Here is a 14,537-nt window from a genome sequence, read left to right on the forward strand (position 1 = left end):
GACTTGAATCAAATCTGAAAAGGCATGTATATAAAATTAGCAAGATGCTACAGACTTCGGAGGTAGCATTATTACCAGAGATTATAGAACCAAGATTTTAAATATCTCAGCAGATTGGGATATTTAGGTTAAAGTCCAGCGTAGCAACGTCTCCACTTGGACCTAAAATTGTTCTTTCTCCAGAATCCATCCATAAGGGAGTTATGTCTAGAAGATCTGAAAGATGACTTGGCAGCAGGTCTAGATCCCAAGAAAGGGACTGAGTTGCCTCATAGGAAGGAAGTCACTTACGGAATATGTCAAGGCCCACAGACAGTAATTAGGCTAATTATTAGAAGGAGAAATATTCTTAGTATAGTAGGTTCATTTGTTCATTCATTCAACAAATATTGAGGTCATACTATTTTCAAGATACTATACTAGCCACTGAGGGATATATGGGGAGCAAAAGCAGACAAGGCCCCTGTCCTTAAAGGAGCTCTCAAGTATAATTGGAGGAAATATGTAAGATAATAAAGGATGATGTTATTATTTAATCAAATTTATATAGGGCCTATGTTGTGCCACGTACTGCTCTAAGCATTTTACATGTAGTTGACCCACACAACAACCATATGATGTAGGTACTGATAATATCTCCAATCTACAGATGACAAGCCTGACACACAGATATGTTAAGTGACTTGCTCAAGGTCACCCTACTTGTAAGTGGCAGAGTCCACATGCTTACCTCCCATGCCATACTGCTTTGGGATGATAATGGTACAGGTACAGAGTGACAGATCGTGACTCTCACAACTTTTTCTCAGGTGATTTAGTGCCACTAGTTGTTCAGAACTTATTAACTCAATAAACATTTCCTTAGGGTCCCACTGTGTGGCTGGCACTGCACTAGGCAATAAGGATCTACCGATGAACAAGACTGATTTATTCACTGCCCTCAATGGAGCCTGCAGGCCAGCAGAGAAGGAAGATATTGAACAAGTGACATGAAAAGGGAAGCACAGAGAGTAATGGAAGCAGATAACCTGGGACTCTGGCCCAATTTCAGGAGGCATATGTCTCCATCACTCAGGTTGTCCTTTGCCTCAGGCCCACGGGGAAGCAGACCCCATGGGACCTCCTCCTGTTAGACAAACATGGCACTATAGGTTATCTGTGTGAGATGGAGGGAACACAAGGGAAATTGTCTAGGGATCACAAAAGAGATGGAGACAGGGATTCCCCCCATGACACCTACATCTGAGAAGATAGCATCAATTGCATGGTGGTATCCATGGTGAAAGGTGGTATTAGTGTAATCAGGCAGCCATGGAACACCTTCACAGCAGCTTTGGGGCCACAGATATCTCACTGTGGGAGGCAGAGAAGAAACAGAAGAGACCTTCAGATGCCATATGGAGAGAGCTGTGTCCATGAGCTCTTACGAGAACGTGCAAAAGAGATGACTTTGGTGGGGGACTAAGGGTCCCACAGTAGCAGGTAAGCACAAAATCAGCAAAACATCATACTCCTATTATTCTGATGCAATTTTTAAACCAGCTAGTGTGATCTGGGAAATGGAAATTAGAACAACAAGGGTAACTAAAAAGTTCTGCCTTCATGCTCCAAAAACCAATTATACAATTAGAGGATGGGAAGCTGTAGTGGGTTGGTGGTCCTCAAAAATATACGTCCATGCCCCAATCCCTGGGGCCTGTGAATGTGATCTTATTTGGCAAAAGGCTCTTTACGGGTGTAATTAAATTTAGGATCTCAAGATGAGGTTATCCTGGAGGGTCCTAAATTAAATGGCAAGAATCCTTGTAAGATACACACAAAAGAGAGACAAAGGGAGGAGAGGAGAAGGCCAGAGATAGGAATTATACAGCCATAAGCCAAGGACTTAGAACCACCAGAAACTGGCAGAAGCAAAGAAGGACTCTTATGGAACCTTCAGTGAGTGTGTGGCCCTGCTGACACCTTCATTTTAGAGCTCTTGGTTCCAGAACTGTGAAAGAGAATACATTTCTGTTATTTTAAGCCACAAAGTCTGTAGTAATTTGTTACATCTGCCCAGGGACAGTAATATAGGGACCCATGGCTTGGCAACGATTTATGTAAAAAATATCTGGGCAAACAGCATGAAGTGACTGATAAAGAAAGCAAATGCAGGGCCAGGCCTAGTGGCTCACACCTGTAATCCCAACACTTTGGGAGACCAAGGCGGGAGGATCACTTGAGGCCAGGAGTTCCAGACCAGCCTGGCAAACATGGCAAAACCCAGTCTCTACTAAAAATATAAAAATTAGCTGGGAGTGGTGGTGCACACCTGTAATCCCAGCTACTTGGGGGGCTGAAGCAGGAGAACTGCTTGGGCCCCAGAAGTGGAGGTTGCAGTGAGCCAAGACTGCACCACTGGACCACTCCAGCCTGGGTGACAGAGCGAAACCCTGTCTCAAAACAACAACAACAAAAATAAAGCAAATGCAGTCTTTGGCTGCCACAAGAGAAACAGAGTTAATAGACTGAGGAAGCTAATCATTCTGCCACGTAGCTGCAATATTGCACTCTGCTCTAAGTGCCACCTTTTAAGAGAGACATTGATGAATGGGAGCCTAGCCAGAGATAGGTGTCTGGAACTGTGTTGGTTCTGGAGAGCTTGCCATACAAAGGATGAGCTGGTAGCACTGGAGATGGGGATCTTGGAATAGAAATCAATGAACATGAAGGTAACCTTGGAATATGTGAAAAGCTATCTTGTCAAAGAGGAAGTAATCTTGTTTTGTGTTGCTCCAGGAGGCAAAATTGGGTTTAGCAAGTGGAAAGTAAAACAGAAGAAAAAACTAATGACTGTTGATTACAGAAATTCAAAACATTGGAAGTATTTGAAATGGGGAAAAGTGCTGTTTCCTAATTCCAGAGACAGGACATCTGGTCCTGCCTCTGTAGTTAATTGGTTGTGTGACTCTGGACATATCATCTCCCCTTCTTTGGACCTCAGTTTTCTTCTATGTAAAATTATGGGGTTAGGTTGGATGCTTTGGGAAGGCATTGTTTTTTTCCTTTTGGTTGTTTCCTATTTTATGGTTTAATAAAACTGTTAAGATGTTTTACAATTTCTGAGTGCCTAGTATATGCTAAAGCTAAAATCTGGGCTAGGTGTTTTGTTTTGTTTTTTGAGATGGAATTTCGCTCTTGTCGCCCAGGCTGGAGTGCAGTGGTGCAATCTCAGCTCACTGCAATCTCTGCCTCCCGGGTTCAAGCGATTCTCCTGCCTCAGCCTCCCGAGTAGATGGGATTACAGGCGCCCGCCACCACGTCCGGCTAATTTTTGTATAGTTAGTAGAGACAGCATTTCGCCATGTTGGCCAGGCTGGTTTCAAACTCCTGACCTCAGGTGATCTGCCTACCTCGGCCTCCCAAAGTGCTGGGATTACAGGTGTGAGCTGCCATGCCTGGCCTGTGCTAGGTGTGTTAACATGCATGATCTCATATAACTCTCTCCACACTACAGGTTAGGTATGTTCCCCCATTATGAATTGTTCTTGGTGTCAACTTGACTGGATTAAGGGATACTCAGGTAACTAGCAAAGCATTATTTCTGGGTATATCTGTGAGGGTGCTTACAGGAGAGATTGGCATTAGAACCAGTGTACCTAAGTAAGGAAGATCTACCCTTACCCATTGTGCGTGGGCATCAGCCAATCTGCTCAGGGTGCAGAACAAAAAGGCAGAGGAAAGGAGAATTCACTCTCTTTCTTCTGGAGCTGGAACACCCTTCATCTGCTGCCCTTGGACATCAGAACTCCAGGTTTTCTGGTCTTTGGACTCTAAGACTAGCACCAATGGCTCACCAGGTTTTTAGGCCTATGGCTTCAGACTGAGAGTTATATCATTGGCTTCCCTGGTTCTGAGGCCTTTGGATTTGGACTGCACCATTCTACTTGGCTTTCCTCATTCTCCGGCTTGTAGATGGCCTGTCATGGGACTTCTCAGCCTCCATAATCACCTGAGCCAATTTCCCTGTGAATCTCCTCTCCATGCCTCTCTCTCTCTCTCTCTCTCTCTGTCAGTTCTGTCTCTCTGGAGAAACCTAATACATACCCATTTTACAGATTAGAGCACTGAGATTGAGAGAGATTGTGACTTGCCCAAAGTCATATAACTTGTTCATGGGTGAGCTAAAAATTGAACTCAGATCCCCCTGCTTTTAGTATTCTTTCCACCATATCATACTGTCTCCCCTACACAATAGTGACCCTTTGCCACACCTGAATTTAGCAAATTATACAATTCATTGTCAAAGTACTCCTCAGAAATCATTTACCAGGCAATATTAACTATCTCAAACACCCCAAAGAATCAGAACATTTCTGAGCAGACAAAATGGTTGGTGCCAAAGCCTATGCGTTAAAGCCCATAAACTTCATTCAGAAAAATTCTTAGGGCTGCCTCACCCAGAGCCTGTCCCTCATCATTTCGTATACAGTGTCTGTTCTTCCTTCCCGAAGAGAAAGGCAAGCTGGAGGGCTGGTCTGCAGCATCCTGGGAGCCTGAGACAGCCTGGGTTGTTAGGCTGTGGAGCATGGAGGCAAAGGCAAAAAGATTAGCAGTGTCCCGTGGAGTCTCCACAAAAGGGGAAGATAAACAGCAAGGTCAATGAGTCTAGCCCTTTGGAATTCCATGCATGAGAGGCTCAACACAGGAAGCAGGTCAGAGAGGTCTAGAGGAATATCTTGAACCAGTGACTACGCAGCCAGCTGCAGAGGTTTTTACATGGTTCCGGGGACTCTGGGGTGGGAAGAAGAGAGCAGTACCCTGAGAGTGCAGTACAGTCCAAAAGTATACACTAGGTTCTGATATACTACTCTGGATTTTTAGTCAGTTACATGCTATAATTTAAAAAAAATCTGTGGGCCGGGTGCAGTGGCTCACGCCTGTAATCCCAGCTCTCAGGGAGGCTAAGAGGCGGGAGGATAGCTTGAGCCCAGGAGTTCGAGACCTGCCTGGGCAATATAGCGAGACCCCGTTCTCCAGAAAAAGGAAAAAAAAAAACAAAAGACAAAAAAAAAATAAGCGTAACTTCCCTCAAAGCAACAACCCCCCCCCCCCCCGCTTTAAAAAAAAAAAAATACAAATAAATCAGCCGGGCGTGGTGACAGGCGCCTATAGTCCCAGCTACTCGGGAGGCTGAGGCAGGAGAATGGTGTGAACCCGGGAGGTGGAGCTTGCAGTGAGCTGAGATGGCGCCACTGCACTCCAGCCTGGGCTACAGAGCGAGACTCTGGCTCAAAAAGAAAAAAAAAAATCTGTGGGGGAAGTCAAGAGGAAGAAGGTAGACATGGACCAATAGGCGTAACAAAAATTAAATATTGACAATGAGAGCAAGGGAGCTGACAGGAAGACTATAGAAAGAAATACGATATCCTCCTAAAGCTAAGCAGTGTGAAGACCCAGAAAGGCTGGCACTACTGTACTTATTGCCGAGTCCTTTAGTGGATATCCATAATGATGACTCAGCGTTATTGAGAAGGTGAGGTGGTATTCTGTGCCTTCTGCATATGAAGGCAGAGATGAGTGCAACATATTATAAAAAGACTTCCACCCACGATGACCTGAAGAAAAAAATTTAATGCCCCAAAGAATAATTGCAGTTGTCTAGCAAATGCAACGATGTAGAAATTGACAGAGCAGAATGAAAGAGATAATGCTTTAAAAATAATATTAAAGGCAGCTGTTAAGGAATGTAGTAAATGTGGGAGAAGGCACTCAATAAATACGTTTAAAAAATTAAACTCAGTTTGGACCCTGCCTAGCTCCCATTCTGGAGAGGTATCTAAATAAATGAATGGGTGACTGAATGTATGAATGAAAATTATCTGGCCTGAGGTCCCCCTTTCACTAGGGTTGTTCTATGGTTCTTGGAGCTAATGCAGTGTCAAGGTGTTGGAGATGGAGGACACCTGTCTTATCTTCAATCATCATCCACACACATTACCACTCAGGAGGTCCATTATCCCTATCTGCATCATGTGTTCCAGGGCCAGAAGCTGTTCTGTGTTCTTGCCATGTTGAGGAATGGTTTCTGCCAATGCTGGCTAGGATGCCATTTGCCTTGAAGCACCCCTCTATTGTCCTCTCTGTTCTTGTTTCCCTGAAGGTGCTGCTCAGCAGAACAGTGGTCTGACCTGATCTTTGCACTAAAAGATCCTTTCTCATTTCTCCTCCCTGCAGCCTGGGGCATTCTGTTCTTCCAATTTGAGGAAAGGCTTCTGTAATCATGTAGTTCCAAGACACTCTATGCCCATGACACCCATTTTTCCCTCTCCTCTGAAAACCTACATTCTTAATGATCTGCCCGTGGAACAGAAAAGCCAAGAAGCTCTGCAGGCAATCTTATGCTTTCCTGGTGCCATATATTAATACTTCTAAAGTAATGAGCATGAGGCTGGCCATGTTTATGGAGAACATAAGGGTGAAAATGCCCCATATATTAATTGTCATATCCCTCTCCCCTCTCAGTTCAAAGCCAGTCAAGAAATAAGCCAGACATCAGAGATATAATGCGTTTGTGTATTCGACAAATATTTTTAAACATTATGCTCCCCCAGCATTGCTCTAGGCACTAAGAATACAGCAGCGCCTGAAGCAGACAAAATAGCAATCTATTATTTGCAAAGATGCATTTTAAAACTTGGCCTAGTCTGAGGCCAAAATGACTTCCCATTCCTTCCTCTCTGAATTGAATTTATCCATTTAATCACAGACTGAGTGGCTAGAAAACTAGAGCCACCTCCTCCACCCTGCCTATCGGATTCCTTGCCCGCACTGAGCATACTGCATGAAGGATTTGGGAATGGAGAAAGGAAGGTGATCAGCCTGCAAGCTGGCAGTTCTGAAAGAGGAAGGGCCCAAGTGGGGCTAAACCACACATGTGGAGTAACCCCCTTCTCCAGTCTCACCAGTCAGCTAATTGAGGAGGGGAGGGCAGAAACCTTCTTCCACATGCTTCCTGCAGGAAGACAGTTTCTATTTCATGAGTGGAAGCAGAAGGATGAAAAGAAGGAAAGTCATTTCCTTTGCAATTAATATTGCAGCTTTTTTTCCAGAGCCTGGTGAATTATTCTTGAATTTTGAATATGATGTATGTGAATTTCATTTATCTATGAAATGATATGCTAACTCCTTTATTTAGGTCTTTTTTAATGCTAAGTGTCTTTATTACTAATTAAGAAGGCTGATTATACAAGGACCCTCTATTTCCATTAATTCAAGCATCCATTAAAAATTATCATCAGTATTGCACTAAATATGTTACAGGAGTGACTTGTTTTTCCGCAATTTTCTTCATATGGGATATATAATTGACATTTATAAAGGGGATGAAATCTAGCCCCTTAAAGTTTCACCTTTATGTTTATACACACTCTTAAGAGTATAAATCCGAACCTGACTCCTTAAATCCTTGATGTGCTAGTCCCTGGCCTATTTACCCTCAGATACATTCCTTGTACTTCTTTGCTCTGTTTTGTATTGTTTCTCAGGTCCTCAAGTTAGCTGGGTCTAGCTAATGGAAGGCAGACTGGAGGCTTGGGGACAGAAGCCAGGGTATTTCTGCCTCAGGCTGCATCTCCAATAGTGGCCATGGCTCTGCTGTGGCCCCAGCTGCTCCTGATAGGCCCACAGTGATTCCGACTTCTGCCAAATGACCAGGCCATTGGCTCCAGAAGTCGATTTCCTCCTATTGCCCCCACAACCTAAGGATGGTTCTGGCCTCTGCCTCTTTGTAATCTCTGGGCCGTTTCACAGAATCCCCAATGGGCTGTTCAGCTATACTATCTGTGTAATCTATTCCTTGTATTAATTTCATTATTAAAATTAAAGAAGTGTTCTTGTATTCTCACTCCAAGGGTGGGAAGCAGGGGTAGTAAGCTAAAACTTGCCTTGGAAAATACCTGAATAAGTACCGGTGCTGAGGCCCAGTTCAGCAGCTTCAGATTAGACGAAAGGGGGAAAACGAAAACTTAGGCCTGGGCCATTCTCAGGCCACTCACCTCAACCCTAAGAGCAATGACATGACTTTATCAATGGTTTTATCTATGGTTGTATCTGACTGCATCTGATGGACCCACACAAAAATGACTGCAGTAACACTTGCCTTTTGATCATTCTAGAATCCAACGGGGAATGCTTTAAGAGTCCCAGACAAACTGCAAAGTGTAGTATAGCAGGAAACACATGGGTCATACCTGAGTTCAGTCCTGGGAGACTAGCAAGATAATTAACTTATCTGAGCCTCAGTTGATATGTTAAATATCTGGAGTTTAATGATCTCTACATAGGACTATTGTGAAAATTAAATAAGGTACATACAAAAGCAGTCCATAAAGTGCTATGCAGATGTTAGATAATTAGTCTTCTGTATCAGCTTAATTTAATGTTTTCCCATTAATATTTTTAAGCTTCATTGTTTTAGCTTTCTTAAAATTGTGAAACCATTTCAAAGTTGTAAAAATAGTGCAAAGAATTTTCATACACCCCCCACTTGGATTCCCCAAAATATATCATAATCACAGCATAATTTCAAATTATCAGAAAACATAGATATATTGCCTATACAATGTTATATAGCCTAGATACTGTAGTCAAACTTCACTAATTATCCCACTAATGTTCAATTTCTGGTCCAAGATCATATGCCACGGTTAGTTTTCACAATAAAGTTTTAGTTGTTTTGTTTATCTGGGAGAGTTACTCAGTCTTGCTCTTTCATGATCTTTGTAATTTTGAAGCCAGTTATTGTGCAGAATATCCTTCAATTTTGGTTTGTCTGTTTTCTCAAGTTTAATACTAACATTTTGATGATTTGTTTATTCATGCCATCAGGGGTGATATAAAAATAGAAACACAGTGTCCTAGTTAAGTTCACAGACTCTAATCGGAATACCTGGATTCAAACTCTGGCTCCACCAGACAGTGTAACCTTGAGTATTTTTGGGACTCAGTATCCTCATCTGTCAGATGAAGAAACATCAGTACCTATCTCCTAGGGTTACTGGAATTACTAAAGGAATGAATACGTGTAAAGTGGTTAGAACAGTTCCTGGCACATATTAAGTGCTGTGTAAGTGTTAGCTAATGTGAGGAATTGGGTTTTGGCAACTGCTGAAGAGACCAAAGTAGCAGCAGGTATTTTAGTTATGTACATCCTTTTTGCTCAATCCTGCCCAAAGAGCCAAGGCCAAAGACTCACTGCCAGCAGGAATTCTGGCCCACCATGAGTGCACTGTTTCTCTCAGCCACAGGCCTCAGCACTTACTCCCAAAGCCCATGAGATGAGGACTTGCTTGATCCACGCTGCAACATTTCTTTAGCACAATAGGTCTACGCAATAGGAACTGAGCCCATGTTTCCTCGCCCATCAGTTGTTGGTAAAATTGTGTCAAATTAATTTTTTAAAAGTTGCAAAATAATTAAGCCCACTTTTTTCCCCTGATAACTATTCTCAGAACACAGGCCTTCAGACTTCATTAGTATGCATCCAGCACTTTGCCCATGGACACATTCACTGAATAACCATAGTGATAACCTCAGCCCTTAACCTCTGCCTGTGCTTCTTGTTGAAGGGGCCAGATCACTCGGACCCTCACAATACTCACTGTATTGGCCAACTGTGGGCAGACTAAGCAGTGAGGCGAAGAGGGAGCGCCCCATAAGGCTGGATGGGGGAAGGGAAGGAAGCTTGAACTGACTGATTCCAATAAGCCAAAATAACGTAAGACATCTATGAAAATGTGGTAAATGACAACTGTTCATTAAAAAATTAAGCAATAACAAACCCTTAACATAAAAGTAACAATGCCTACATATGAATAGCAAATGACATTTTACAAAGCAATTTTCATTCTTTACCTTATTTGCCCTGCCACACACCATCTTACAGGTGAGAAAGAAAAAGGATTCAGAGAGAAATGTGGCAAAGCTGATACTTTAATTCAGGTTTTCGCATATTTTCCACTTAATGAAAAAGAAGAAAATACACACTAAATATAGATCAAAGACCAACAGGATTAAAAGACTACCAAAACATAGAGACTGAAATGTAGAAATGCAATGAAACCAGTTTCCGTAGAGCAACTCTGGTTTCTTGGCAGTCAAGGACAGTGAGGTTTTTCAAGAAAAGGGACTTTCACAAGGTCTTGGGTGCAGGCTGAGCAATGTAAGAAGAGGTGGGGGAAGTGGTGTGCACACACACACACACCTTTGGACCAAGTTTCAAGCTACTGTAAAATCCCTTCATGTTTGACTGCTTAAGAATCAAATGAGTTCAATGGGTTGAAGACACAGACCACAAAGACCAAACATATGCTACCTTCAATGCATGGCTGGCATCAAGCACACTGCCAAGCACAAAGTAGACTTTCAATATGTATTTACTGATTTGGCTGGACTTTTATCTATGCAGTAACAAGGTACAGTGTTATTAAAAACTCCTACAAATATCTTACCCTCCCCAAATTAGGTATTGCCATAAAATACCAGTTGAACTCATGTAGAAATGGTCAAACTTCTGTCAATTGTGCAGGTCAAGAAGAAATTAGAAACTTAGTTCCCATCAACAAATTGCTTCCATATTATTTTAATGTCAAACTGAGACCTTTCCCAAAAAAAAGAGGCTGATATATCAATCATATCATACCAAAGTTTATTGATTACATCAAACAAAAATTTCTGTAATGGAAAAGGCAAGTTGCAGTCATAAAAGATGGCATTCACATTCATTTTAGAAAGCAACAACGTAGATGTAAAAAACTGCTTAAGTGAAAAATGTAATATTGCAGTCCCATTTTGCAAGCTGAAAAATGATTTTGTCAACACGCATAAAATCTGCACATTTATATACTGCATGTTATTAAAAAATTCCATCACTAAATTATTACGAATTTTGCAAAGTTAGGCTTACATTTATACTGTTGCTGGTGTATGTGTAAGTAGATATGGAATGAATGTTTTCAGTTTAGTAGGTAACATCCTCAAACAATGGACAGCGGTTGTGAAAATTACAAAGACATTTTGATAGCTCAAAATTATTCAAATTATAGGTAGATGATCTTATTATATTTTTTTCCCTTTCTCTGTCACAAATAGGGTGATTACATTGAGTGCTAGGAATACTGCATGGTCTATTTCAAGTTATTCGATCTGCTAACCCCACACTGGCCAGTTTTTAGCTCTTCAGTAAAATATCTTTTAAAAAGGAAAGCCAGGTCCCTCTCAAGGATCTAGGCCATGATATCATGTATCATTGCCATTCTGAATTTGAGCTGCAGTATCACAATGTAATGTGTAGCTGAGACATAACTCTAAATCCCCCTTACTCCTTGTCTTTCTTTCTTTCTGGCTGGAAGGAATTTTACATGCAACCAGTTATTTTTCTACTAGATTATTCTGTTAACTCTCCAATGGTACTGCATTAAACAAGCCTCTCTACTGTGGCTCTCTTGTCTGTATTCACAGTTCCCATAGATTTTATGTAAAACAGCAATCATAATACAGCAACAACAACCATAAGAACAAGAAAACAAACACAAAATATCAAAAGCTTTCCTGGGTTAGACTTTTTTAGCTCTTTGGAATAGGCAAAGAATATAGAGACTTTTGTTTTCAGCAGCTTACCTCAAATACGGGCTACCAGAACACAGCACACTTAGGTAAGTTGTGAATGACATGTAACAAAATGCTCAAAAATAATACTGATATATGAGAGCAAATGAAATAATGAAAAAGGGTCTATAATGATGGAATGGCTTCTGATAACTGAAATTATGTTCTTTTCTAGAATTTAGAAAAAAATCATACCTAAACATTAACACAAAATATATGTGGAAGAATCAAATGTGCCATATGGACTATATAAATATAATACAGATTAACTCCAATACTTTTCCAAATCAAGGTACAATATAAACATTAATAATAGTACAGGCATGCCAGAAAGACAAAAAAAAAACAAAAAAACTAGCAGTCAAATAAATATGGTCATTTATATCCAAAAAAGTATGTGTTTAACATTGAATGAAGACATTTCACATTTATGTTTCAAGTGAACTAATTAGAAGGCTAAACCTTCCTTCTAGTTCAGTTAGTCAAGGACTTTACTAAGGTCAGTTACATGGTTTAGAGTTAGACCATTTCCCTGTCCAAGTTAAGAGACAACATTCATCTTCACAGAGTCATGGCTCTACAAGCTGAACCACCGTTTTGGGGTGGCTCCTTCCCCCTTTCCAAATTGGCCAAGTTTAAGAAAAAGCACTGCATATATGCATAAATGCAATCTCTTTCAAATAAAAACCGTCAAAAGTTTAAAATAAGCTATATTTCTTCCTCTTCACATAAAATTATAAAAGGCTGATATTCAGAATGACCTTTATTTTTATATAACTATGGTTTAAACCACCTTACTGCAGATCCCAGTAAAATCAACACTGGAAAAATCTGTTTATTTTCTAACTACTTTGAGGGGCTACTAAGTGATTGGAAATGTTTTATACTTTATTTTCAAGTCTAGTAGGCTTACACCCATAAGTGGGGTTTAATTCAGAAGAATAAAAAATAAACAATTTTTTTCTATTCCCACAAAAATACCCGTAAGTTAACACTTTCCACATAAGCGTTCAAGGTATTTTTTTGGCAAGAATATTCTACCAAGACATTAGTAGCACATGGGTAAACAGAAGGGATTAACTATTCTGTCTGATGCATTGATACTATTTAGTTATTCTGTATTTTCAAGTATTCCTTATGTACTTGGGAAAAAAAATTAAGATGATCATTTAGGAGGAATGAGAAATGTGATCCAAATAGTCTATTTCTTCTGCCAGGCAAAAAAAGTAGTATTAGCAAAATCTATTCATTCTCATTGCATAACTTCTACTTCATACTATTGTATTTAAATCCATTCACAAAGTTCATGGGTTAAAAGAGCACCCATTTGAGTTATATTACTCTAACTAAAGCCAGAATTCTAAGTATTCTTGCTTTCAACTTTCATATAATTCTTAACTTACAGCTTTGGCCATAAAGGCTACTTACAATAATGGTAAATGCTTAAGAGAATCATTTGGTATTTTAATGAACATTTATTGTGAACTCTAGACATGAGAGTGGTTTAGTGTGTTGCGTATCAAGTATCCTGAGATGATAACTTTTTGTAGTTGTTTCTTCATGCTTTCTTTTTTAGCTGTAACCACTGTCAGTATGCTTGTAGGACAATAACATAGGCAGTTCAAGATTCGGATTCTGAAAAATGTAAAATATACAGATTTAAAAGGCTTATTTTAATAATGTGAAACCATCTGTTAAGCATTTTCAGAAATAAGTAGTAAATTTTGTTATGAGAGTAAAGCAACTGTCTTAACAAAGTGCCAAGTTTTATTCACATGCAGGGGAAAAAAAGAGTGACACTATAACCAGATTTTAATCCTTTCTTCATTTGTCAGCTGAATAGATTCAGGCTTGCTTTTTGCTTTTGGATTGTTCCAGGGTTCTCCTAATACTTTCTACCTCTGGGATTATTTACCATAGCAGAGGTTTAGCTTGCTGTGATCCCTTCTCCTCTAGGCTGGGAGGTCCTTGAAAACAGGAACATTTTATTTACCTTCTATCTCCAGCAGCTAGTAATAGTGTCTGGCACACAGCAGATACTCAGGAAATGTTTGATGAATGATTAGATTGCTGTTTTTCTTGATGTGTTAATTTTGACAGAGGAAGTCTGAAGATATATTCAGCTTTGGAAGATTATTGTGAAAATATTCTTCCTTTTTACTGAAAGAAGCATATTTCCCCCCTACAATATGGAAGTTAATTTTCCTTTTGGTAGATCATGTATCTATGAGTCGATTGATTCTTCTGTTTTTTCTTATGCTTCATCTTTTTGGAAGAGAAACCACGGATATTTCCCTATCAAATCTGTAGATTCTTCTCTGTCCTCTAAACATCATCAAATGCTATGATCAGGATGGTGCATGACAGACAAACTGATCATTAAGTGTAAGTCAAGTATGTTAAGAAATGGAAGTCATATGTCAAAACAGGGAGCCTGATTCTCCACTCTAAAACTCAATCTTTTTGAACCTGAGTAGTGGAAGGTCTTAAGTAGTATGCTATTTTCTTCCCATTCTGGGACACCTCCTTTGCCATGGCTGGACTAGAAGCTCATTAGAATACCTTCCATTTCTATTTATGTTCCACATTCTCCAGAACCACTAGTAGGTTTTCAGGTAGCTCTGCAGGGTCATGGTGACTCTAACCAAAATAAGGTTGCCATTCATACTGAGAATGTAACTCACATTGAGGAGTTAGGTAGTTTCCTTACCAACCAAGGAACAAACTAGATGCCTAAACTAGCTGCTAATTATTGTCTTTGGAGGAGAAATAATGCCACATGAAAATCTATTCCTGGAAGAAATAACTACATTAAAAATAAGACAATTGTTTTTAAAAAATACTTCCTCAGTTCTATGTTAGACATTGTAGGAGATAAGGCCCTGGAGAGG

At 40.2% G+C, this 14,537-nt stretch overlaps 1 protein-coding gene and 1 pseudogene across 9 annotated transcripts in view, besides 1 other annotated feature; one reads left to right on the forward strand and one right to left on the reverse strand.

Annotated features, from left to right (window-relative positions):
- Positions 4,898-5,094, forward strand: BCYRN1P1 (brain cytoplasmic RNA 1, pseudogene 1; annotated as a pseudogene).
- Positions 10,136-10,185: a silencer, noted in NCBI's record as "silent region_21035". NCBI's record gives its function as "represses an Ori minimal core promoter by ATAC-STARR-seq in GM12878 lymphoblastoid cells {active_cell/tissue: GM12878}" and the evidence as "EXISTENCE:reporter gene assay evidence [ECO:0000049][PMID:35858748]".
- ATP11C (ATPase phospholipid transporting 11C (ATP11C blood group)) overlaps positions 10,667-14,537 on the reverse strand; it is a 210,556-nt gene continuing 206,685 nt past the window's right edge. For all 9 annotated transcript variants that reach the window (XM_047442018.1, XM_047442024.1, NM_001353810.2 and 6 more), the window contains one exon: positions 10,667-13,281. In XM_047442018.1, the coding sequence (XP_047297974.1) occupies positions 13,219-13,281 (63 nt within the window). In that variant the 3' untranslated portion in view covers positions 10,667-13,218. The remainder of the gene's footprint in view (positions 13,282-14,537) is intronic.

Source organism: Homo sapiens, chromosome X, assembly GCF_000001405.40.
Source record: "Homo sapiens chromosome X, GRCh38.p14 Primary Assembly".
Classification (NCBI taxonomy): domain Eukaryota; kingdom Metazoa; phylum Chordata; class Mammalia; order Primates; family Hominidae; genus Homo; species Homo sapiens.